Below are 22,212 nucleotides of genomic sequence, written 5' to 3'. Positions count from 1 at the left end.
CTTTGGGAAGCCGAGGCGGGAGAATCACTGGAGCTCAGGAGTTCGTGACCAGCCTAGGCAAACATAGTGAGATCTCGTCTCTATTTAAATAAAATAGAAAATCTGTTTAAAACAAACAAAAAATAGAAGAGCTGTCGTGAAACTTGGGTGCTCTGGGTAAAGCTTGGGAAGAGGCAGGGCCTCCCAGCATGTCTGGAATCCCCAAATTAGCAACCTGTTTCCTTGTCTGAAAAATGGGTGTAGAAATGGCCGGCTAAGAGGACAACGGCACTGGTGCCGGGTGTTGAGCAAGCCCTCGACAGCCTCACCGAGAGTGCACCAAGGGCCACCCGCGCGCTGCCGCTCCCAGGGCTCCCACCCTCCCCTCGGACGCCGGCCTGGTGAACCAGGCTGCAGGCGCGCGTGGGAGCGCTCAGAGCTGTCTCAGGTGTTCTGAGCCGCCAGATCGGGAGTCCAGTGCCCTGCTGAGCCCGAGCCCCAGCACAGGCTCCCGTCGCGTCCTCCCGCAGCCCGGGGTCCCCGCCCGCCCAGCGCCTCCCACGCGCGGACTCCTAGGCTGAGCGCGCAGGGCAGCGGGGCCCACGCGAGGGCGGGGCGAGCCGGGGCTTTGTGTTCAAACCGGCCAATGGGTGGCGGCGGTGGGCGGTGACGGCCGGCGGGGCCTGACCAATGGGCTGCGGCCTGTCAGCGTTGACTGACAGGCGCACACATACAGAGTCGGCCACACGCGCGCCGCCCGGCCCCACTCGCGCAGCGCGGGCCTCCGCCGGCCGCATTGTCCGCCCGCCCGCCTTGTCCCGCGTCGCCGCTCTTCGCGTGCCCGCGCGCCCCGGGCCCGGCCGCTGTGTCGCCCTGAGCGGAGCGCCGCCCGCGGGATCCCCACGCGGAAAGGGGGCGCGCCCCGGCGGCGGCCTGGCCTCGGACGCCCCCGGCCGGGCTAGAAGCCGCCGCGGCAGCAGGTGAGTGCGGGCGAGCTCAGGAGAGGGTTGGGGGGCCGCGGCCCGGCCTGACCCCGGGTCACCGTCGGGCCACTCGGGCGGGGCCGCGCCGCCAGGCCTGCTTCCTCCTCTCCGGGACGTGCTGGGCCGGATCCAGCCTCCACCCGGGTCCGCGGCCCGCGCCCTGACTCACCTCCTGGCCCCCGCCCCGCCTGCCGCGCCACTGGTCAGCCGGGAGGGCGGTGTCTGCGGGCGGGACTTCCCGGGCAGCCTCCCGGGAGGAGGAGGGCAAAGGCCGACTGCCCCAACCCGGCCCCGGGCAGCGCCTACGGGTTTTGTGCCAGACAGGCCGTTTCCAGGGACAGGCAGTTCCCAGCCTCTGCCTGTCAGAACTCAGGGCCTCAGAGGAAGGCCCGTTTTGTTCAGTTCTAAAACAAAACAAAACAAAGCAATGGGGGGCGCGGTGTGACTTAGAGAGCCAGGAGGCGCGCCTTTGGTGACAATTTCTGCAGGTTTGGCCTGTGGGAATGAGGGCAGAGGGAGTTAGCACCGGGCGTTTGGCAGGTCCCACAAGGGCGTGTGGCCTGGCTGTGCCCAGGGAGTGGAAATGTCACGAGGAAGATGCCCCAGATCTGGTTTAAGTCTGAAGATGGATGGAGATGTTTGTGATGGGGAAGGGCGGAATTGAGAAAGGAAGTCGCCCAGCTGAGAAGTGGGGAAGGATGCTTTCCGATGAGCGTTTCCTAACTGATTGTTAGGGAGGAGGTGGGGCGGGGGTGGTGTCTATTATGATTCGCAGTAGTAGATTTCAGCTCCCAGAGGCTCACTTCTTGTTTTGGAGAATGGGGCCTCGACCTTTTTCATCTTGTGAAACCCAGACTCAATGGTAAACTGTTTTGTGATGCCAGGATGCCGCAGGAAAGACTGAGAGGCATCTCTGGGAGTTCTGGGAGGGCGGAGGCGGGTGCTGACAGTTTTCAGCACTCCCCGCTCAACCTCCATCAGAATATTTAGTTCTTCCCAGCGGCAGCTTGGGTATGGTATAAACATGTTGCCTTGTTTCTGCCCTGGGCAAAGGTGTCACCTCCTTCAGCAGGACAGAGGCTAAGAGGAGTCCCTGTGTGGGCAGCTGGAGCCTTCAGGTAGGGACCGTACGGGCGGGGCAGGGAGGGGGGAGGGGAGATTACCTTATAAGGACAGGAATAGAGACAAGGACCCAGGCCAACTTCCTGCTTTTCCTACTACCAATCGGTCCCTTTTCCAACACCAGCTAAAAGTAGAGGGGATGCCAGATGGGCGTCTGACCTGGGAAGATGCCAACAAGGCCAGGACATGAGGCTGCTTGTTTTTCAGAGGAGGACTTTCTAGCTGGACTAACCAGACCTTCGGGTTTCTGCAGCCTGGGTTGGGAAGTGGACTTCTATACTCACCACACAACCCAGAGAACTGGTCATTTAAGTATCAACCAGGAATATTAGAAGTGATCAAAAGTCACAAGCAAGTGCTAGGAATTCCCAAGTGACTTTGTTGTACGGGCCAGCAGAGGCACTAACGTTGAGACTCCCCATGTTGGCAGTCGGGGACTTTGAATTCGGGTGTCTAGACCTGAGTGGTTCATTAATCTTCCTCATGTCACAGAATGCTACCTCTTGCCAGATCTTTGCACTTTGGCTTCCTTTGTCCTCATTATCAGTTCCAGAGCCTTGATTTCTGCCCCACATGGTGACCGGAACTGACTGTAATTCATGCTGCCCTCCTCCTCCCTATTTTGTTAGTTTGCTAACAAATATTTGTTGTGTAACAAGTTTGTATACAGCCTTGTTTTGCGCATGTGTGAGGCTAAAAAAGATTCTAGCTGAGGACACACAACTAGAATCTTCAATACATTCCTGAAACAACTGGAAAACTTTATGCCTGAGTAGAAAGACCCAGGCCCTACAGCCTGTCAGAGCTGAGCCCAAACCCTGGCTTTGGCACTTACAGGCTGGGGACTGTGGACAAGTTACCCATTGCCTCAGTGTCCAGGTTCTTCCCTTGTAGATGGGAGTAATGATACCTACCTTGCTTCTAATAATATAAATGAGGTATACAAGGAGCCCGGTCCCAGCAGACACTTACCATTTTATCATCATCTTACCAAGATGTGGCAGCACAGTGTGCACCGTGGGGACAGACAGTGCAAGCGCCATCAGGACGTAGGTGGGAGCCTGGCCAACTTGGTGAAACCCTGTCTCTATTATTAAAAGAAAAGAAAAGAAAAATCCTTTTGGCTGAGCGTGGTGGCTCATGCCTGTAATCCCAGCACTTTGGGAAGCCGAGGTGGACAGATCACCTGAGGTCAGGAGTTCGAGACCAGCCTGGCCAACATGGCGAAACCCCGTCTCTATTAAAAATACAAAAATTAGCCAGTCCCGGTGGCGCACACCTGTAATCCCAGCTACTTGGGAGGCTGAGGCAGGAGAATCGCATGAACCTGGGAGGTAGAGGTTGCAGTGAGCCAAGATTGCACCACTGCACTTCAGCCTGGGAGGCAGCGCGAGACTCCATCTCAAAAAAAAAAAAAAAAAAAAAAAGAACATAGGTGGGGTCTACATGGGAAAGGTTTTCCATCAAGGTTCGTTGGGGCCCTCGATGAACGAGCACATGTCAGCAAAGGGACACAGCTAGAGCGAGACTGGGAGAAGTCTCTAGGGAGAAGGCAGGTGGGGTGGCTGGACCACCGGGCGTGCAGGCAGTGACCAGAAGCACCAGAGTCTCTGCTACTTGTCAGAGGTCGAGGAAGACCCAATTCTGGCTTGTGCGGAGCTCAGCACCATGAAGGATAAAGACAAGGAAACTGAGAATTGGGAAGCCTGTGGAAAGCGCCCTGGAAGAGGCTCCAGAGTCACGAAGTGAGCCCCAGGCCGGGCGTGACTCCAGCCGCTGCACAGTGCAGGGGTGCTTCACAGATCCCTGCCTTGCCCCCCATCAGGGCTGTTTAGACTGAACGCCGGGGGCCGGGGGCCGGGGGGGTGGTCTGTTCTCGGCTGTGAGGCGATGCCTCTGTCCCACCTCCTCTAGAGAGGAGCTGGGGACAGCCCCAGGCCTCACATCCAGTCCTCCTCCTCTCTCTCCTTAGATTCTCTTCAGGGGAAGAGTCCACATCCCACCTCATCATGTCCCGAAGAAGCCAGCGCCTCACGCGCTACTCCCAGGGTGACGATGACGGCAGCAGCAGCAGCGGAGGGAGCTCGGTGGCTGGGAGTCAGAGCACCCTGTTTAAAGACAGTCCTCTCAGGTAGGGACCCAAGGGAGTGCCACGGCCCCTGACAGCCCCACAAGCTTTTGGTCACTGCCCGCACGCCCTGTGGTCCAGCCATCCCCCTGCCTTCTTGTTGCAACCTTGGGTGGAAATCGAAGGACGTGGGCCCCCGTCCGGTCGAGGGGGTCCTTCCTTGCTCCATGTGTATGAGCACACAGCACCCATTCTTCTCCCACCGACTGTGAGCCGGGGCTGCTGCCCTCATGCTTAGAAAACAGGAAGTGGTAGGTCGGGCGCGGTGGCTCACGCCTGTAATGCCAGCTCTTTGGGAGGCCAAGGGAGGTGGATCACCTGACCCTGACCAACATAGTGAAACTCCGTCTCTACTAAAAATACAAAAATTAGCCCGGCATGGTGGCAGGCAGCTGTAATCCCAGCTACTCAGGAGGCTGAGGCAGGAGAATCGCTTGAACCTGGCAGGCAGAGGTTGCAGTGAGCGAGATCATGGCATTGCACTCCAGCCTGGGTTGACAAGAGTGAAACTCCATCTCAATCTCAAAAAGAAAAAAAGGAAAGAAAGAAAACAGGAAGTGGAGAGAGGCAGCTTCAACCATAAGCCAGGCCGGAAACCCCAAAACTGCAGGCTGGGCTCACAGGAACCCCCCCTGCTCTGGACGGGCGTGTCAGCCTTACCATCCTTCCTGGCCCCACGCCTGCATGTCTCACCACCTGTCCGGCCTCAGCAGCTGGCCAGCGACATGGCTGAGAACAGGCGCAGTCCTCAGGCCACTGGGAAATGGGCTGTGGCAGCAGCTGCCTGGTCGTCCTGCCCGGCTCACAGGCATGGGGCCCAGAAGACAGGCCCTGAGGCTTTGGCTAGCTCTGAGGCCAGGTCAGGTCTGTCTGGTTTCAGTGGGTTGTAAAGTTTGAATGTGGCTCCATCCCTAGCTGCCGCTGCCCGTCTTGCCCATCTGCTGGTGAGATTCAGAGAGAACAGGAGAGGACGTGCCAGCATTGGGAGAGTCAGGGGAATGGCAGCTGCGAGTTGCCTAGCAACAAGGGAACCCACACCCTGCACTAGGCAGGGCCGCAGGCTGTGGCTTTCCTTCATGCTCCTGGCTGGGCTCACCTCCCTGCTCCCTACCTCTGCCCTCATGGTTGTCCCACAGGACCTTGAAGAGGAAATCCAGCAACATGAAGCGCCTGTCCCCAGCGCCACAGCTGGGCCCGTCCTCTGATGCACACACCTCCTACTACAGTGAGTCGCTGGTCCACGAGTCCTGGTTCCCACCCAGGAGCTCCCTGGAGGAACTGCATGGTGACGCCAACTGGGGTGAGTGTGGAGCCCTCCGTCCCGGGGCTTTGCTTCCTCGGCCTCCCGCGAGATACTCCTCACAGTGTCCCCTGCAGTCCCCGGGATTCCCTCCTCAGAGCACCTCTCTGCCCAGACCCCACTTTTCAGAAGCTCTTGGAGGCCCAGAAGAGCCCCTGGTTCTTCCCTGCACAGGTGAGGACCTGCGGGTGCGGAGGAGGAGAGGCACGGGTGGCTCAGAGAGCAGCAGGGCCAGCGGGCTTGTGGGGCGCAAGGCCACCGAGGACTTCCTGGGCTCTTCCTCGGGCTACTCCTCTGAGGACGACTACGTGGGTAGGCGATGCTTCCTCCCTCCTGAGCAGATCCGAGGCTGCTGGGAGGCCTCAGGAAGGCTGGGCAGGGAGCCCCGGGGAGCTGGAGAGAGGGCAGCATGTGGCAGGCACAGCGCCCCTCCCATGCCCGGCCCTGGGTGCGCCCCAGCCTGGCCTGCGGTGGCCCCTGGTGCCCTGGGCTGTGACTGCCCTTCACTTGTCTGTCCTCCCCACCCCACGAGTCTATGGCAACCTAAGGCCAACATCCTTGCATTCAGGCCCATTCCAGCACTTTCCTGTGGGGCTCACACATGGTGGGTGCTCAGTCATTCTGAGTGGTGTGCATGTCAGACCCCAGCACCTAGTTCTGAACAGCAGCTTGAGGGGTGGCTGGTGAGGAGAGGGATGCAAACAGGAAGCTGTCAGAAGAAACAGAATGTCAAAGAGCTCCCATTTCATTCCTTACTGCACACCGGGCCTGTGTGGGGCTGTGGGGATGTGAAGGAGGGTGGGTGACTTGTGGTCTTGGCTCACAGAAGACAGTGAAGGAAGAGGCTCGAAAGTGACAGAGACTGAGCCAGTGTCCTCGTTCCCCGCAGGCTACTCGGATGTGGACCAGCAGAGTTCCAGCTCGCGGCTCCGAAGCGCCGTCTCACGGGCGGGCTCCTTACTCTGGATGGTGGCCACTTCGCCAGGTGGGCTGCAACCCGTGCCCAGTTACTTCCATTCTTGGTGATAGTGCTTTCTTACCCATCTCTCTGCAGTTGGGCATCCTGCCCATGCAGAGAGACTGTAGGACCATTGGGGAAAGGTCATTCTAGAATAATCACTGGGAGCCCAGAGCTGTGGGGACCCCCTTGCGTGGAAGGGAAGGAGTAGCTGCAGAGCAGGACAGAGGGTGTGGGCAGGTGGGATCCAAGGACCTGGGTCCCGGTAGGGCAGGACAGAGGCATACTGGCAGGTGGGGGTGGGGTAGGGGCAGGGAGGACGGCAGACGGGACAAAGGAGCGGTGCCCCCAAACACCATATGGAGCCTTCGGCTTGATGGTCATTCTTCCAGGCCGGCTCTTCAGACTTCTCTACTGGTGGGCTGGCACCACCTGGTACCGCCTGACCACAGCTGCCTCCCTCCTTGACGTCTTCGTTTTAACCAGGTGAGCGAGACTCCACCCTTGCCAATAAATCGCAAGGCCCTGGGGTGAAGGGACGGGTAAAGTGTGTCAACCTGTAATGGTCGATTCTCTGAGGGTTTTCCCCAGTTTCCCTGGAGCCTTTATTAGCGATCACGGAGTAGCTTCCCCAAAGCCCACCCCTGCCTGACAGAGGATGGACTCAGAGTCAGGTTCTTCTCCCCGAATTGATAGCCCTTCGAGGCAGGATTCCAGAGCACAGATTATTTCTTCTTGGACACATTCTACTAAACGCCACACTAGTCTAGCCGTGCCTGGCTCTCAGACACACGATGGCTTTCCTCCTGCAGGGTAGGCCCACTGACTCCAGGCAAGAAGTGGGGTTTCCCAGAAAGTCCATCTTCCTTCTTGGGCCTGGGACAATCTAACCCCCCGAGTTCCCCACTCATGGTCAGAGCCACAAAGAGGCTCTGCCTGAGGATGCTATGGGTTCATTCCCCAAGTCCCTAAACCAGCAGAACCAGGATTTGAGAATGTGCCCCTTAGGCAGAAGAACACGGAACCCAGAAGTCAGGATCCCTCTGGCCGTAATCCAGGTCCGGGCAGAGGGGACAGCTGGCCATACTGAAACAAGGGGCAAGGATGGGTTTGTGTCACCAAAAACAGGTTCCTTGTTGTTATTTAAGGAGTTACTTTTTTTTTCTATATTTGCATACTTAGAGGACCTGTCCATATAAAAATTTTTGAGTTTTTCAAAGACCACACTATTTTTAATAACATCAGTAAAATTCAGTCAAAATTGTCCCATCACTCTAAGACCTGCCCAGCAGGAAAGGCTCTGACGTGTCCAGGCTGGCCCTGGCACAGTGAGAAGCTCAAGCTATCCTCCTTAGCTCTAGTTCAGCACCCAGGAAAACATCTCAGGGTACTCCCTGGGTGGAACGTGGAGGCCTGGAGCTCCCCTCACACCTCCGCCTCCCCCGTCCTGCCCTCCCGCGTGGTCCAGGCGCTTCTCGTCCCTGAAGACGTTCCTCTGGTTCCTGCTGCCGCTGCTCTTGCTGACGTGCCTGACGTATGGTGAGCCTGCATGGGGAGAGCAGAGGGAGGCACAGAGATGTGTTCACCAGAGGGTGGTGACCTTTGGCAGGCAGGGAAGGGGCAAGACTGGGTGGGGTGTGCCTGTGACTGGGCAGGGCCTGAGCCCTGGACCCTGGATCATCTCTGCATGGCCCTCCCCACCTCTCCTGAGCCTCTTTTGTGCCGCCCTGGGCAGGAGCACACCCTAGTGCCGCAACATTGGGTGAAAAGCGGGATGCCCTCCCATTATCATTAGCAGTCATCCTCCTTCCACTCCAACAGGGACATCTGCTATGAGGGAGTTATTTTTACAAGATGAAGTTAAATCTTGAGCTGTCTTTAAAGTAAAAACAATGAAGCAGCAAAGGGAAATAAGTGCCTTTTTTGTTTGTTTTTTGAGACAGAGTTTTTGCTCTTGTTGCCCAGGCTGGAGTGCAATGGCGCGATGTCAGCTCACCACAACCTCCACCTCTCAGGTTCAAGTGATTCTCCTGCCTCAGCCTCCCGAGTAGCTGGGATTACAGGCATGCGCCAACATGCCCAGCTAATTTTGTATTTTTACTAGAGATGGGGTTTCTCCATGTTGTCAGGCTGGTCTCGAACTCCTGACCTCAGGTGATCCAGCTGCCTCGGCCTCCCAAAGTGCTGGGATTACAGGCATGAGCCACCGTGCCCGGCCATAAGTGCCTCTTTTTACACCAGTCACTTACCAGCTGTCCTGAATCATCCCAGGCGCTAGCACAGGCCTGCCTTGGTTTTTTGTTTGTTTTGAGACAAAGTCTTCTTCTGTCACCCCAGCTGAAGTGCAGTGGCACGAACACAGCTCACTGCAGCCTTGACCTTCTGAGCTCAGGTGATCCTCCCACGTCAGCCTCCCAAGTAGCTGGGATTACAGGCATGCAGCACCACACATGGCTAATTTTTGTATTTTTAGTAGAGACGGGGTTTCACCATGTTGGCCAGGCTGGTCTCAAACTCCTGACCTCAAGTGATCCACCCACCTCGGCCTCCCAAAGTGTCGGGATTACAGGTGTGAGCCACTGCACCCAGCCCTTCCTTGTTTATATAGACATTTTGTGTTCAGCTTTTTACTTGACAGCTTGGCTAGTTTCATATGAATTGCCTATGTGACTCTCAGCTCAATTTTAATGACTGCACCAAGTAATTAAAGACCATGCTTTATTATTTTTTGAGAGTTTGTTTTATAAGCTTAATATCATTCAACTTGTATTTCTTTTATTAATAACAGGGTAGAACACTTTTCCAAAAGTTAGCTTCGTTTTTGTGTTTGCTGCTACAAGAACAGCTGGTTCATATCCAGTGGCAACTGAGCACCACCCTTAAAATAATAATGATTCTTCTTCTTTTTTTTTTTTTTTTTGAGACGGAGTTTTGCTCTGTTGCCCAGGCTCGAGTGCTGTGGCACAATCTTGGCTCACTGCAACCTCCACCTCCCGGGTTCAAGCGATTCTCCTGCCTCAGCCTCCCGAGTAGCTGGGATTACAGGTGCATGCCACCACGCCCAGCTAATTTTTATATTTTTAGTAGAGACGGGGTTTCGCCATGTTGGCCAGTCTGGTCTCAAACTCCTGACCTCAAGTGATCCACCTGCCTCGGCCTCCCGAAGTGCTGGCATTACAGGTGTGAGCCACCACGCCCAGTCAGTGATTCTTTTTTGTGTGTGTGTGATGGAGTCTGTCGCCCAGGCTGGAGTGCAGTCGTGCGATCTTGACTCACTGCAAGCTCCACCTCCCAGGTTCACGCCATTCTCCTGCCTCAGCCTCCCGAGTAGCTGGGACTACAGGCGGCCGCCACCACGCCTGGCTAATTTCTTTTTGTATTTTTAGTAGAGATGGGGTGTCACCATATTAGCCAGGATGGTCTCGATCTCCTGACCTCGTGATCCACCCGCCTCGGCCTCCCAAAGTGCTGGGATTACAGGCGTGAGCCACCGCGCCCGGCCCAGTCAGTGATTCTTTATAATTGCATAGCAATGTACCCAGAGAGCACTTTCCCGTGCATTATCTCAGTTCAATTTGAGCTTCACCATGGCCTTGTGGGGTTGCTGTAGTCAGTGCTGTGAACCCATCACATGGAGATGCACGTGGAGGGGGCTCAGTGACCTGCTCGGGGAGTGTGTGCATGAAGGCCATGTCCATGCTGGACTTCAAGCCCCATGGGCATGAGCTTCCTTTTGCACCTGCCAACCTCTGGTGCTTGAGTAGCGAATGGAGCTTTATCAGGACAGAAAGCCCTCCCTCCCCCGCTCCCCTGCCACCTGCCCCAGAGCTCAGGAGTAAACAGGTATCAAACAGATGGCCCTGAAAACAGAATGAACATGTCTCTGTGTGGCTGCAGCTTGGTGCTCGTGTCTGGGCCTCGAGCAGCCTCTCTTAGAGGGGGTGGTGCTTTCTGTTGCAGTGACTCTCAGCCATGGCGGCCCATGACAGTCACCAGGAAGCTTTACAAACTCACCTACGCAGGGGCCCCACCCCAGGCCAATTAGCTTGCTCTCCAGAGGGCAGGGCCAGACCTGGTTGTACTAAAATCTCCCCAGGTGATTCTGACGACCAGACAGGGCTGAGAACCACCATCAGGTCCTCTGGGCTGTACCCTGGATCATCCCTAACTCATTCAAAATGTTTTCTCCAAGTTTTGCCACTTACAGAAAGATGAAGGATTCCCGTGGGGGTGTGAGAATGAATATGCTCTGAGGTTGTTGGGTGGAAGTTGCCACCTCAGAGAATGGGGGCACCTGCATCCCTCTGATGCCTCTGGAAGGGCACAGCTCCACGAGTGGGACAGGCCACAAGCACTGGCAGGGATCAGGTAGCCATCCTCCCTGGCGCGCGCCTCTTGCTGGAGGCCCAGCTGGGGTAACACCCTCTCCCCTGTGCACAGGTGCTTGGTATTTCTACCCCTATGGGCTGCAGACATTCCACCCTGCTTTGGTTTCCTGGTGGGCAGCGAAGGACAGCAGGAGGCCGGATGAGGGCTGGGAAGCCAGAGACTCATCGCCACATTTCCAGGTGAGTCTCTGAGGGTGGTAGCTCCCAAGAGCTTAGCAATAATTAGGTGACGGTGAAAGTGGTGGGTGCGCCCTCAGCCTGCCTCACACCGTACACACAAAGCTGAGGCGTACTGTTAGTTGCCATCTTACAAGGCACAGAAAACAGAAAGAAAAGGAATCCAACAAATTATCTTGTCTGCTTTGTTCCTTTTCAATGCTGTTTCACAAATATTTACTGGGCACCTTCTATGACTAGGATAATATCCCAGTCAGTTACCTCTTACCAAAGATAATCCACCCCTAAAAGCAGTGGCTCAAAACTACAATGGTTGATTAGTTCATGAGTCTGTGGGTTGTCTGGGTGGTCTTTCTGGTCTGAGAAAAGAGAAGCAATCTTGGCTGGGCTCGTACTTGCCTGTGTGGATCTGTCTGTCTGCAGTTGGCTGGGGGGGTCAGCTGGGGGCCAGCTGGTCAAGGCCCTTGCCTAGGACAGCTGTACTCCATGTGCACTTTGCTCACCCGGCAGGCTAGCCCCAGCTGTTTCTCATCGCACCCAGGCAGGGTTTCAAGAGAGAACCAAGGCAACCAGACCTTTGAGGCCTTGATCCAGAACCAGCACACCGTCACTCCCGCCACATTCTGTTGGCTACCGCAAATCTCAGAGCCAAATCCAGATTCAAGGAGAGGGAAATAGACTTCACCTCTCAGCAAGAGAGCCCACAAGGTCACATGACAGAGGTGCGGCTGCAGGGAGGAGTGAGGGATGGTGGCCATTTTTATAATCTGCCAGAGTCTAAAGATGAATCAGGCCCAGGCTGTGCCCTCAAGGAGCCTGCAGTCAGCATAACCAGAAAGCAATGTGAGCACAGGTACTGATACTGACAATTTAAACCTCTAAGCCAAGCCTGGTGGCTCACATCTGTAATCTCGGCACTTTGGGAGGCCAAGGTGGGAGGATCACTTAAGGCCAGGAGTTCGAGACTAGCCTAGGCAACACAGTGAGGCCCTGTCTTTATTTTTAATAAAACTCTTCATTTTCTAATTATGGTTATTTGACCTGCACTTGCATCTCACTGAATTTAACTTGGTATTACATTTTTATTATTCATTTAAAAATTTTTTGAGACAGGGTCTCATTCTGTTGTCCAGGCTGCAGTGCAGTAGTATAATCATAACTCATTGTAACCTTGAACTCCTGGGCTCAAGCGATCCTCCTGCATCAGCCTGTGAAGTAGCTGGGACTACAGGTGTACACCACCATGTCTGTCAAATTTTTAAAAAAAATTTTTGTAGAGACAGGGTCTCACTATGTTGCCAGGCTGGTCTTGAACTCCTGGCTTCAAGCAATCCTCCTGCCTCAGCCTTCCAAAGGGCTGGGATTACAGGCATGAGTCACTGCACCTGGCATAGTATCACTTTTTTTTTTTTTTTTTTTTTTTTTGAGACAGAGTCTTGCTAAGTCACCCATGCTGGAATGCTGCGTCACCCAGGCTGGAGTGCAGTGGCACGATCTGGGCTCACTGCAGCCTACACCTCCCGGGTTCAAGCGATTCTCCCGCCTCAGCGTCCCGAGTAGCTGGGACTACAGGCGCGCACCACCATGCCAGCTAATTTTTTTATTTTTAGTAGAGACAGGGTTTCACCATGTTGGCCAGGATGGTCTCTGTCTCCTGACCTCATGATCCGCCCGCCTTGGCCTCCCAAAGTGCTGGGATTACAGGCGTGAGCCACCACGCCCAGCCGGCATCACATGTTTAACCATCTATTTTTGTATATATTACTTTCCAGACCATGGTCTTTCCAATTTTATTATATGTGCTGCCAAAGTGAGTACCAGACCATGATCTTATTATTTTACAAAATAATGACATGTCATCTATGACTTTTCCTTTTTTCACCATTAAAGACATTAAATACAGTTCAATTTCAGAACCATCTTTTTTGTAAAAAAGGGTAAGTTAAAAAAATGAATATATCTTGTATTAGCAACATTTGCATGAAGTTAAAATAAAAACAGCTTCCTGGTCTGGGAGAGGCTGTTGGTGAGGCAACTGGGGTGATGGGGCAGAGGATTTTTTGCTGGTTTTTGTGGGCTTTTTTTTTTTTTTTTTTTTTGAGACGGAGTCTTGCTCTTGTTGCCCAGACTAAAGTGCAATGGCACGATCTTAGCTCACTGCAACCTCTGCCTCCCAGGTTCAAGCGATTCTCCTGCCTCAGCCTCCTGTGTAGCTGGGACTACAGGAGCCTGCCACCATCTCCAGCTAATTTTTGTATATTTAGTAGACACAGGGTTTCGCCATACTGGCCAGGCTGGTCTCGAACTTCTGACCTCAGGTAATCCACCTGCGTCGGCCTCCCAAAGTGTTGGGATTACAGGCGTGAGCCACCACGTCCCGCCTGTTTGTGTGCTTTTTGAGTCATGCAAATGTAGCGCCTATTTAAAAACCAGAATTTCTAAAACTCAGAACCTCTGCTGCTCAGTAGCTCCCTGGCCTTTATTTGACAGTTTTTATCACTTCTCTTGGCAATGATTTTGTTGTTAAGCCAACAACATTCTCAAATTCATGACACACTATCAAATGCCACCCTCAGTCCAAATGACATTTATTCCATTTTCTCTGTGGGACATCCAGCTAAAGAGGAAAAAGAACGTATTTTCAAATTATTCTGTCTCTTAGCCATAGTTACCTAGGGAAGGAGTGAAAGCCATTGAGAGTCCACAGACAGAACTCGCAGCCCTGGCTCCCCTGCCCCTGTAGGAGGCGGGGAAGGAGTGAGCTTCAGGCCAGGAGGGTCCACGGCCCCCTGCAGCCATCCTGCAGCTTCCAGTCCTCCTCCTGGACCATCCCTGCACTCAGACCTTCTCCCCGGCCCACCTTCCTTCCTCCTCTGGGATCAGACTTCGGTACTGTGTCCTCAGGGACCTTCCTCTGTGGCCGGCACCCAGTGATCCCTGGCTCCCAGCACACCCAGCTCAGAGGTCGGCAGCCCCTGCCCACGAGCTCCAGCCGGCCCTGCATGGCCTTATGCTGGAACGTCTCTGGAATCTTTTCCCTTTCTTTCTGTGTTGGCTGTGTCGGGGTGGTCTTTGGGAAGCACTATCATCCAAGGGTCCCTCACTCCGTGGCTCTCTCTCTGCCCTTCCAGGCTGAGCAGCGTGTTATGTCCCGGGTACACTCTCTGGAGCGGCGTCTGGAAGCTCTTGCTGCTGAATTTTCCTCCAACTGGCAGAAGGAGGCCATGCGGCTGGAACGTCTGGAGCTGCGGCAAGGGGCTCCTGGCCAGGGAGGTGGTGGTGGCCTGAGCCACGAGGACACCCTGGCGCTGCTGGAGGGGCTAGTGAGCCGCCGTGAAGCTGCCCTGAAGGAGGATTTCCGCAGGGAAACTGCTGCTCGCATCCAGGTAGGAGGTGGAATACCTCAGGGTGGGAGGTGGGTGACACCCATAGGAAAGCGTGAAGGTGCCCAGCAGCAGAGAGAACAAGTGTCATTTGGGATCAGACAGCTCTGCCATTTTGCAGTTACTCCCTTTCTCTTTTTTTCTTTTTTTTTTTTCTTTTTGAGACAATATCTCACTCTGTCACCCAGCCTGGAGTGCAGTGGCGTGATCTCGACTCACTACAACCTGTGCCTCCCAGGTTCAAGCGATTCTCTTGCCTCACTCAGCCTCCCGAGTAGCTGGATTACAGGCGTGCACCACCACATCCAGCTAATTTTGTATTTTTAGTAGAGACAGGGTTTTACCAAGTTGGCCAGGCTGGTCTCGAACTCCTGACCTCTAGTGATCTGCCTGCCTTGGCCTCCCAAAGTCCTGGGATTACAGGCGTGAGCCACCACGCCAGGCCTCCTCACCTTCTCTAAGCCTCAGTTTCCTGCTCTTTGATGGAGGCCATCGTGTCTCCCCCACCCCCATAGTGAGCTGTGCGAGTAGAAAGCCCCAGCATGGTACCTGACACCGCAGAGGTGTGCAGTGGAGCTGAAGCGGGAGTCTTGCGTGGTTCAGAGAAGGCTGAGAGCCAGGGCTCTGGAAGCAAACAGACCTTGTTTGAATTCCAGTTCCGCCACTTCCTAGTCATGAGGGTCCCTATAAGCATGGCTCTGTCCAACCTGTCCTCTCACTCCCGTCTCACAGGAAGAACTGTCTGCCCTGAGAGCAGAGCATCAGCAAGACTCAGAAGACCTCTTCAAGAAGATCGTCCGGGCCTCCCAGGTCAGCGGGCTTGCGGCACTCAGGGCCTGTGACTGGGTCCTGACCCCATCCAACATGTTCACCTCGGACCCCTCGGCCCTTCCAAAGGGACTGTTTGGGTGTTGCATGGGGAGGGGAGTGCCCTCCTCTGACTTCTCTGTTTGACCCCCGACCCCTTAGTTGGAGAGCTGTGCAGGGGCTCCCTGGGGTGTGCCAGGGCACAGCGGCCTGTCATGCTGGTGTGCATGTGCTGAGTGTGGGTGAACAGATACCTCAGTGTGTCAGACATGGACGAGACTCATGAGGGCTTTGACAAGGAGGCCAGTTTGATTTTTGCTGCAGGGGTCAAGAGACCTTGGGCAGGGGTGTGGTTAAGCAAAGACGCTAACAGACAGCAGATCCTACTCTGGAACACCAATTTCTGAGATGAGTATTTCTTGTATTTGTCCCTTCTTCCTACACAGGAGTCCGAGGCTCGCATCCAGCAGCTGAAGTCAGAGTGGCAAAGGTACTGGGCGCCACCAGCTGGCCTCGGCCTGCTCCTCCCCAGCCCCACCCACTCTCCAGGCAGGACTGGGGAGCAGAGCCGCAGAGCAGAGAGTTCTGATCATCTTGCCAAGCAGATGGTAGGGGGAGGGGTTGAAACCCAGCTCAGGACCCCTGCCCAGGGCCTGTCTTTGAGGTGCCATGGAGGTTAGCAGGGGGGTCCTGAGGGCGGGGGGCAGGCTGTGTGAGAGGACCGGGATTCATTTATAGACACAGCATCCTTTCTTACAGCCTCACATAACTGCCTTCTCATGCCCCAGATGTCCATGCTTGTGGAGGATGTGAGAGGCTGAGGCAGAGTACATTCTGGACTCTGGGCTTAGAAAGGGAGCAGGCTCAGAATTAGCTCCTTGGGACAGGCAGGGGTTCTGCAGCCAGAACCCCCAGGAGAGGCCTTGCCCCTTCTCAGGTTCACAATGAGTGCTGGGCACCCGCTCTCCTGACGGGAGCCCACTAGGGGGTCCTCTTTCATCTTTGGTGTGGCCTTACCTCCCACCAAAGAGATCCGAGGCTTACTCTTCTCTCTCTGGGACCAGCATGACCCAGGAGTCCTTCCAGGAGAGCTCTGTGAAGGAGCTGAGGCGGCTGGAGGACCAGCTGGCCGGCCTGCAGCAGGAGCTGGCGGCTCTGGCACTGAAGCAGAGCTCGGTGGCGGAAGAAGTGGGCCTGCTGCCCCAGCAGATCCAGGCCGTGCGGGACGACGTGAGTGGGAACCACCAGGGCCCTGCTGGTCCCTCTCCTCCTCCTTTGAGACGACGTGTCCTGGGGCCTGCAAAGCAGCACCCCTTGCCCCTGCAGCCTCTGTTATGCCCAAGAGACTGTGGCGTTGGCCTTGACACATGTGGGCTCTCACTGACAGGCGTTCTTCCTGTTTTTGTTAGTGCCCATGGAGTGTTCATAACTCTTTCCTCCAGTGGCCTCCCTCCTACCCTATCCCTGCTATCCAGCTAAGCACTAGCCCTGTCATAGCAGCTCCTGCTGTCCCTGCAAGCCCCCCAGGGTGACACCCCTTTGGGTTCCTATAGGTGGAATCTCAGTTCCCGGCCTGGATCAGTCAGTTCCTTGCCCGAGGTGGAGGGGGCCGCGTGGGGCTCCTTCAGAGAGAGGAGATGCAAGCTCAGCTGCGAGAGCTGGAGAGCAAGATCCTCACCCATGTGGCAGAGATGCAGGGCAAGTCGGCCAGGGAAGCCGCGGCCTCCCTGAGCCTGACGCTGCAGAAAGAAGGTGTGATTGGAGTGACAGAGGAGGTGAGGCCCACATGCCCCTCTCCACACACCCACCCACAGCTCTCCTCCCTGGGAGCCCTGGACAGTCCCACACTGCCAGCTCCCTGGCAGGTTCCAGGATGGAAGTGCCAAGCAGGAGGCTTTGCATGCTGTGGGGCTGGCATGGGTGGGTGGCAGTGTGCCCACATCTGCCTGGGCACCAGCACAGTGCAAGCCTAGAAGGGGTCAGCCCATGGGTCCTTGGCCCACGGCCACGAGGTGACAGGGGGACACGTCTGCTCCCTGCTGCAACCGTCTCCTGGTGCCTGCATTGCAGCAGGTGCACCACATCGTGAAGCAGGCCCTGCAGCGCTACAGTGAGGACCGCATCGGGCTGGCAGACTACGCCCTGGAGTCAGGAGGTACGTGCTCTGCTTTCCTCGCTCTGCCTTGTCCTGGACCCCGCAATGGCCGGTCCCCTGGCATCTACCAGGTTGGTGGTGGGGCAGAGCAAGCAAAGCTCAGGATCAGCAGAAATCACCCAACCTAGTACCCATGACAAAGGCAAGTGGCAATTCAGGGAAGTCAGGACGTACCGAGTACCATCCTGGGCCAGGGAGAGGCTGACCTTTAAAGCTGCTCTGAGCATCTCGGTTAGGGTTAAAGGCTAGGCCTGGGGCATCTGCCGTCCACCTTCAGCGAGGAGACAGCCAATGGCCTGAGCGGGGCCCTCCTCCCGTGCGGGAGCCCACCCTGCCTTCCTCTCCTGTCTCAGGGGCCAGCGTCATCAGCACCCGATGTTCTGAGACCTACGAGACCAAGACGGCCCTCCTCAGCCTCTTCGGCATCCCCCTGTGGTACCACTCCCAGTCACCCCGAGTCATCCTCCAGGTGGGCACCTGGCAAGCACAGCAGCGGGGGCTCTGAGCACACTGAGGGCTGGTCCCATCTGGGGTCAGCAAGAGCTGGACTCAGGGCCCTGTCCTGACATGACTTTCTGCTCCTCCAGCCAGATGTGCACCCAGGCAACTGCTGGGCCTTCCAGGGGCCACAAGGCTTCGCCGTGGTCCGCCTCTCTGCCCGCATCCGCCCCACAGCCGTTACCTTAGAGCATGTGCCCAAGGCCTTGTCACCCAACAGCACTATCTCCAGTGCCCCCAAGGACTTCGCCATCTTTGTGAGTATCTGTCCTGTGGTGGGGCCAGAGGGGCTGCAGGGGGATCCTGTGGGCCTCTCTACTGAGGATCAAGTCAGGGTCACCCTTGGACTGGAAGGGAGGGGAGTGGATTTGGAAGAGGAGGAGCTAGGGTGGGAGACAGCACTTCAGTCCCTGTTACCTTAGGCTTTGGAGGCAGAAACTGTGGCACAAGAGAGTGAAGTGACTTGTCATAGGCCACTCTGGTGCCTGACCTGCTGGGTGGGAGGAGCAGGGATTGGAGTGGGGAGGGGTGTTCTCCCTGCTCCAGCCCCTCCCCACTTCCCTCCGCTCTCTTTGCAGGGGTTTGACGAAGACCTGCAGCAGGAGGGGACACTCCTTGGCAAGTTCACTTACGATCAGGACGGCGAGCCTATTCAGACGTTTCACTTTCAGGTACGGGATGCTGCTGTGCTAGCAGAAGTGGCGCAGACTCCCCATCCAGGCAGCAGGTGCTCCCTGGGCACTTACCCTGCCAGGCATGGGGTTCAGAGAGGGAAGCCCTGCTCTCCTTTCCCACAGCTCAAGATGTGATATCCAAATGGGGTGTAACACGCATCCTGCAGACGTCAGCACAGGGGAAGGCACCTTCCAGAAGGGCAGCATGAGGGAAGCTTCCTGGAAAAGGACACCAGGAGGTGGGCTTTACACAAGAGGGGTTGGGTGGCCAGGAAAGGAAGGCCGGGAGAGGCGTTCGAGGAGCCGCCGCCAGCACATGCCAGGGCGCGGGCATTCTACCATGGCCAGCTGGAGCCTCAGGCAGTGCATGCGGCTTAAACTTCAGTGGGCATCCGATCTCCTAAGTCAGTTAGAAATGCAGATTCCCAGTCTCCACCCCAGGAGAGTCTGGTTCCTTAGGGCTGACAGGACCCAGGAGCCTGCATTTGAACAAACCATTGGCCTAAGCCCCACACCGGGGGAGTCCTGGAGTGAGGAATTGGGTTGGCGGGATAGTGGGAGGTGGACGAGGGACAGTGGCAGGAAGAGGAGGCCACAGAGAGGCAGGAAATAAGCCCTCAGGGACCTGGGGGAGGCAGTGCTGTGCTTCAGGTGACAAAGCTATGTCCATTTGACTAACATCACTATATGACTCGAAGGGGCGAGCCTGGGCCTGGGAGACCCGTCAGGAAGTGGTTGAGGGAAAGCAGCCAGAACAGGATAGGTGGGGGAGAGGGGCGTTGGGAGTGAGGACAAAGACGTAGCAGGGAGGGTCGTGAATGTCCAGTTGGATGGGGTGGGAGGAAGAAGCCACTGCGATGGGGGCTGATGTGGAGCAGGGGGCAGGTCTGGCTGAGTCTGAGGCACCTATGGAACAGTCCAGTGGAGCTGTCGGGGGAGCCAGAAAGAACTGAGTTGTCATCAGCTCTGAGGAGGTAACTAGGCTGCAAGAGAGGTTGGGATTTCTCTTTAGGAAAGTATAGAGGCCAGACGAGGTGGCTCATGTCTGTAATTCCAGCACTTTGCAAGGCCAAGGCGAGGGGATTGCTTGAGCCCAGGAGTTCAAGACCAGGCTGGTGAACACAGCGAGATCCCGACTCTACAAAAAATGTTAAAAAATTTAGCCGGGTGTGGTGACATGCACCTGTGGTCCCAGCTACTGGGGAGGCTAAGGTGGGAGGATCCCTTGAGCCCAGAAGGTTGAGGCAGTGAACTGTGATCACACCATTGTACTCCAGCCTGGGTGACAGAGCAAGACCCTGTCTCCAAAAACAAAAAAAGAGGGTAGAGGACAGAACGATGTGCCAGAGAGAAGGGACAAGCCAGGAGTGTGCTAGGCCTGTGGCATCTGCCCAGGTAAGATATGCTGCTAACACCATTCCCAACACTGTGGCTAGACAGAGGCCCGATGGGCACTGGAGAAAAAGAATCAAGTGTGCCCCACATCAGCATCTATGAAGCCCTCTATGAAGGTGGTTCTATCTGTTGATCACAATAAAAAAACGATTGTGGATGAATTCATTCCGGTTTCAGATGAAGTGTGCTACAGGTGGCCCCTTAACCCACTGGCTGGAAACACTGCTCAGGAGGCTAAAGATAGGAGCTTTTGAAGCCTGGTTCTCTTCAGAGCCCCAGGGAAGGAGCAGGGGAGCCATCTGGCCCTAGGCGAGGCTGTCTCCCCTTCCCACCTTCTCTGTCAGTGAGGCCTCACAGGTCTCTGATGCTCTTAATCCCTTTCTTCTCTACCCAGGCCCCTACGATGGCCACGTACCAGGTGGTGGAGCTGCGGATCCTGACTAACTGGGGCCACCCCGAGTACACCTGCATCTACCGCTTCAGAGTGCATGGGGAGCCCGCCCACTAGCCCTGCTTACTGGTGCCTGCTGCCAGCCATCTGGGAGTGGGTGAACAGCACCCCGCCGCTTCCCCCACACGCTTGCTCGGCGCTCTGACTTCTAGGAGCACAAGAGAGGAGCCTGTGGCCCCATGCAGATGAAAAGGACGGGCAGGGTCTCCTGAGCAGCAGGTGGCTCGAGGCGGTTAGCAGGCTCCAGCAGCTCCCTTCTTCCTTCCCTCTGTGCCCGTGGCGTCTGCTTCCCATCCTGGGAGTGTGTATATATGTAGCATATCATGGGGGACTGGGAAGTTGGGAGAGGTAGGACCTGACTGGTCTTGGCTGGGGTCAGGGGCTGGTGCCTGGGAGCTGATGAAGCAGGTGCCAGGGCTGTGGGAGGGGCAAGCTACGGCCTGGGCTAGGTGAGCTGCCTCTGCCCCTGGGCAAGGAAGCGAGGCCCTCTGGGAGGAGGGTGCTTAGCTCCAGAGCAGGATGGGACTTCCCCAGGCAGGAAGCACTTGATGGAGAGCTGCCCAGCTCTCCTACAAGGTTAGTGCCCTCCACCTAGGGAAGCATGAACCACAGGGTCCCTGAGGGCCTTCGACAAAAGTGTGTATTTGTCCCGGGGAGGGTAGCAGTGGGCCATGGGGCTTCTTGTGCCCTAAAGGGGACTGGCTGCTGTGATCTTCTAAGGGGCCCAGGGCCAACCCTGTAGGCTTCCCCTCTGCTGGGGACGGTAGTTGCTTTTCTCTCTCCTGATGCTAGGTTGGGGCCCACCCTGCTCCCTGTTCCTGCTAGGGCCTGCCAGTGCCCCTGAGCTTGCTTTCCACATTCTCCCAGGGTATGGAGACCTAGACCTGTCTTTGGGGCCATTAGCATCTGGGGTTATAGCAAGAAGAGTGGGGAGCATGGAACTCCTGGGCTCTTGTGGGGACGTTCAGGGTATCGGGGTGCGAGGTCTGTCTGCACCGGCCCCCACATCTAACCAGGCCCTGATGTAGGGGTCGTCCGCTCAGGCTGCCCCCTTGGGCTCTTGCAGCTCTTGTTCAGGTAGTCGCCCTTCTGGTTTGTTCTCTGTGGGGCAGTTGGTGGGGGCTGGGGGAAGAGGCTGGCAGAAGTTACCCTGGATAGGGAAGGGGGAGGAGGGGACTTTTAGAGCCAGCAGGCCCCACTGTATTATGTATATATTTTTCAAGGTCTGTTTTTCTAACTGAAAAGCTAAGGGCTTGATTCCTAGCCCCGTTCTGTGGGGCACTGGGTGATACTCAGTTTCTTGTTCCTGGCCGTGGAGAGGGGCCTGGGGCACTGGTTCCGGCTGTGTCTGGTGGTCTGGCTGCGGGGAAGGGGCAAGAAGGCGGGCAGGCCTTCACTGCAGCACTGAGCCTCAAATCCGCTCTGGAGCATGAGGCTGGATGCAGTGGTGGTGAGGCCGCCCCGCTCCATCCCGAGGCAGCCAGGGTTTGTTTTGCGCTCTCCTGTCACAAATGCTGCACTATTGGTTCTTAAGTTTTTTATCTCCAGATCCTAATTTATGCCTATGCAAAAAATAAATGACGCCCAAGAGCTGTGGGATGTGGCTTTCATGTGGCTTTTGCCTATCACCTAGGGCAGCTGCTCTTGGGCAGATGAGGGAATGAATTCTTGGCCAAACGAATGTCCCCAAAGACTTATTCCTGAAGTTCAGAAACCCACAACTTTCAGCTAAAGCCCAGTTGTGGTGGGGGATGGGACCTGAGGCAGGTCTCCTCCAGTGTTTGTGGGTCAAGGGCTGGCATGAGGAAGCAGTG

The 22,212-nt window shown here is 56.1% G+C and overlaps 2 protein-coding genes across 31 annotated transcripts in view, besides 4 other annotated features; one reads left to right on the top strand and one right to left on the bottom strand.

Annotated features, from left to right (window-relative positions):
* Positions 341 to 890: a silencer, noted in NCBI's record as "silent region_13731". NCBI's record gives its function as "represses an Ori minimal core promoter by ATAC-STARR-seq in GM12878 lymphoblastoid cells {active_cell/tissue: GM12878}" and the evidence as "EXISTENCE:reporter gene assay evidence [ECO:0000049][PMID:35858748]".
* SUN2 (Sad1 and UNC84 domain containing 2) lies at positions 724 to 21,988 on the top strand. Of its 27 annotated transcripts, none has more exons than NM_001394427.1 (19): positions 724 to 959; positions 4,057 to 4,215; positions 5,349 to 5,512; positions 5,687 to 5,824; positions 6,402 to 6,497; positions 6,863 to 6,956; positions 7,939 to 8,009; positions 9,558 to 9,650; positions 10,911 to 11,038; positions 14,167 to 14,421; positions 15,151 to 15,228; positions 15,672 to 15,715; positions 16,290 to 16,455; positions 16,779 to 17,000; positions 17,296 to 17,380; positions 17,734 to 17,849; positions 17,968 to 18,135; positions 18,457 to 18,549; positions 20,342 to 21,988. In NM_001394427.1, exons 2-19 carry the CDS (start codon positions 4,094 to 4,096, stop codon positions 20,453 to 20,455), a joined length of 2,247 nt encoding a protein of 748 aa, NP_001381356.1. In that variant the 5' UTR covers positions 724 to 959; positions 4,057 to 4,093; the 3' UTR covers positions 20,456 to 21,988. The 27 variants fall into 27 exon arrangements, with proteins under 27 accessions (NP_001381356.1, NP_001381363.1, NP_001381364.1 ...); NM_001394434.1 differs by lacking the exon at positions 9,558 to 9,650 and adding an exon at positions 2,035 to 2,080; NM_001394435.1 differs by lacking the exon at positions 9,558 to 9,650 and adding an exon at positions 2,032 to 2,080.
* Positions 1,001 to 1,350: a silencer, noted in NCBI's record as "silent region_13730". NCBI's record gives its function as "represses an Ori minimal core promoter by ATAC-STARR-seq in GM12878 lymphoblastoid cells {active_cell/tissue: GM12878}" and the evidence as "EXISTENCE:reporter gene assay evidence [ECO:0000049][PMID:35858748]".
* Positions 1,841 to 1,910: an enhancer, noted in NCBI's record as "active region_19019". NCBI's record gives its function as "activates an Ori minimal core promoter by ATAC-STARR-seq in GM12878 lymphoblastoid cells {active_cell/tissue: GM12878}" and the evidence as "EXISTENCE:reporter gene assay evidence [ECO:0000049][PMID:35858748]".
* Positions 4,529 to 4,578: an enhancer, noted in NCBI's record as "active region_19018". NCBI's record gives its function as "activates an Ori minimal core promoter by ATAC-STARR-seq in GM12878 lymphoblastoid cells {active_cell/tissue: GM12878}" and the evidence as "EXISTENCE:reporter gene assay evidence [ECO:0000049][PMID:35858748]".
* Positions 13,607 to 22,212, bottom strand: part of GTPBP1 (GTP binding protein 1) — a 37,172-nt gene continuing 28,566 nt past the window's right edge. For 2 of the 4 annotated variants that reach the window (XM_011530537.3, XM_047441614.1), the window contains exon 14: positions 13,607 to 18,771. In XM_011530537.3, the coding sequence (XP_011528839.1) occupies positions 18,723 to 18,771 (49 nt within the window). In that variant the 3' untranslated portion in view covers positions 13,607 to 18,722. Of the gene's footprint in view, positions 18,772 to 21,141; positions 21,549 to 22,212 lie in introns of those variants that run through there. The other 2 variants (XM_017029100.3, XM_017029101.3) reach the window with 1 other exon arrangement.

This window comes from Homo sapiens, chromosome 22, assembly GCF_000001405.40.
Source record: "Homo sapiens chromosome 22, GRCh38.p14 Primary Assembly".
NCBI lineage: Eukaryota > Metazoa > Chordata > Mammalia > Primates > Hominidae > Homo > Homo sapiens.
This window is presented reverse-complemented; position numbering and strand designations above follow the sequence as displayed.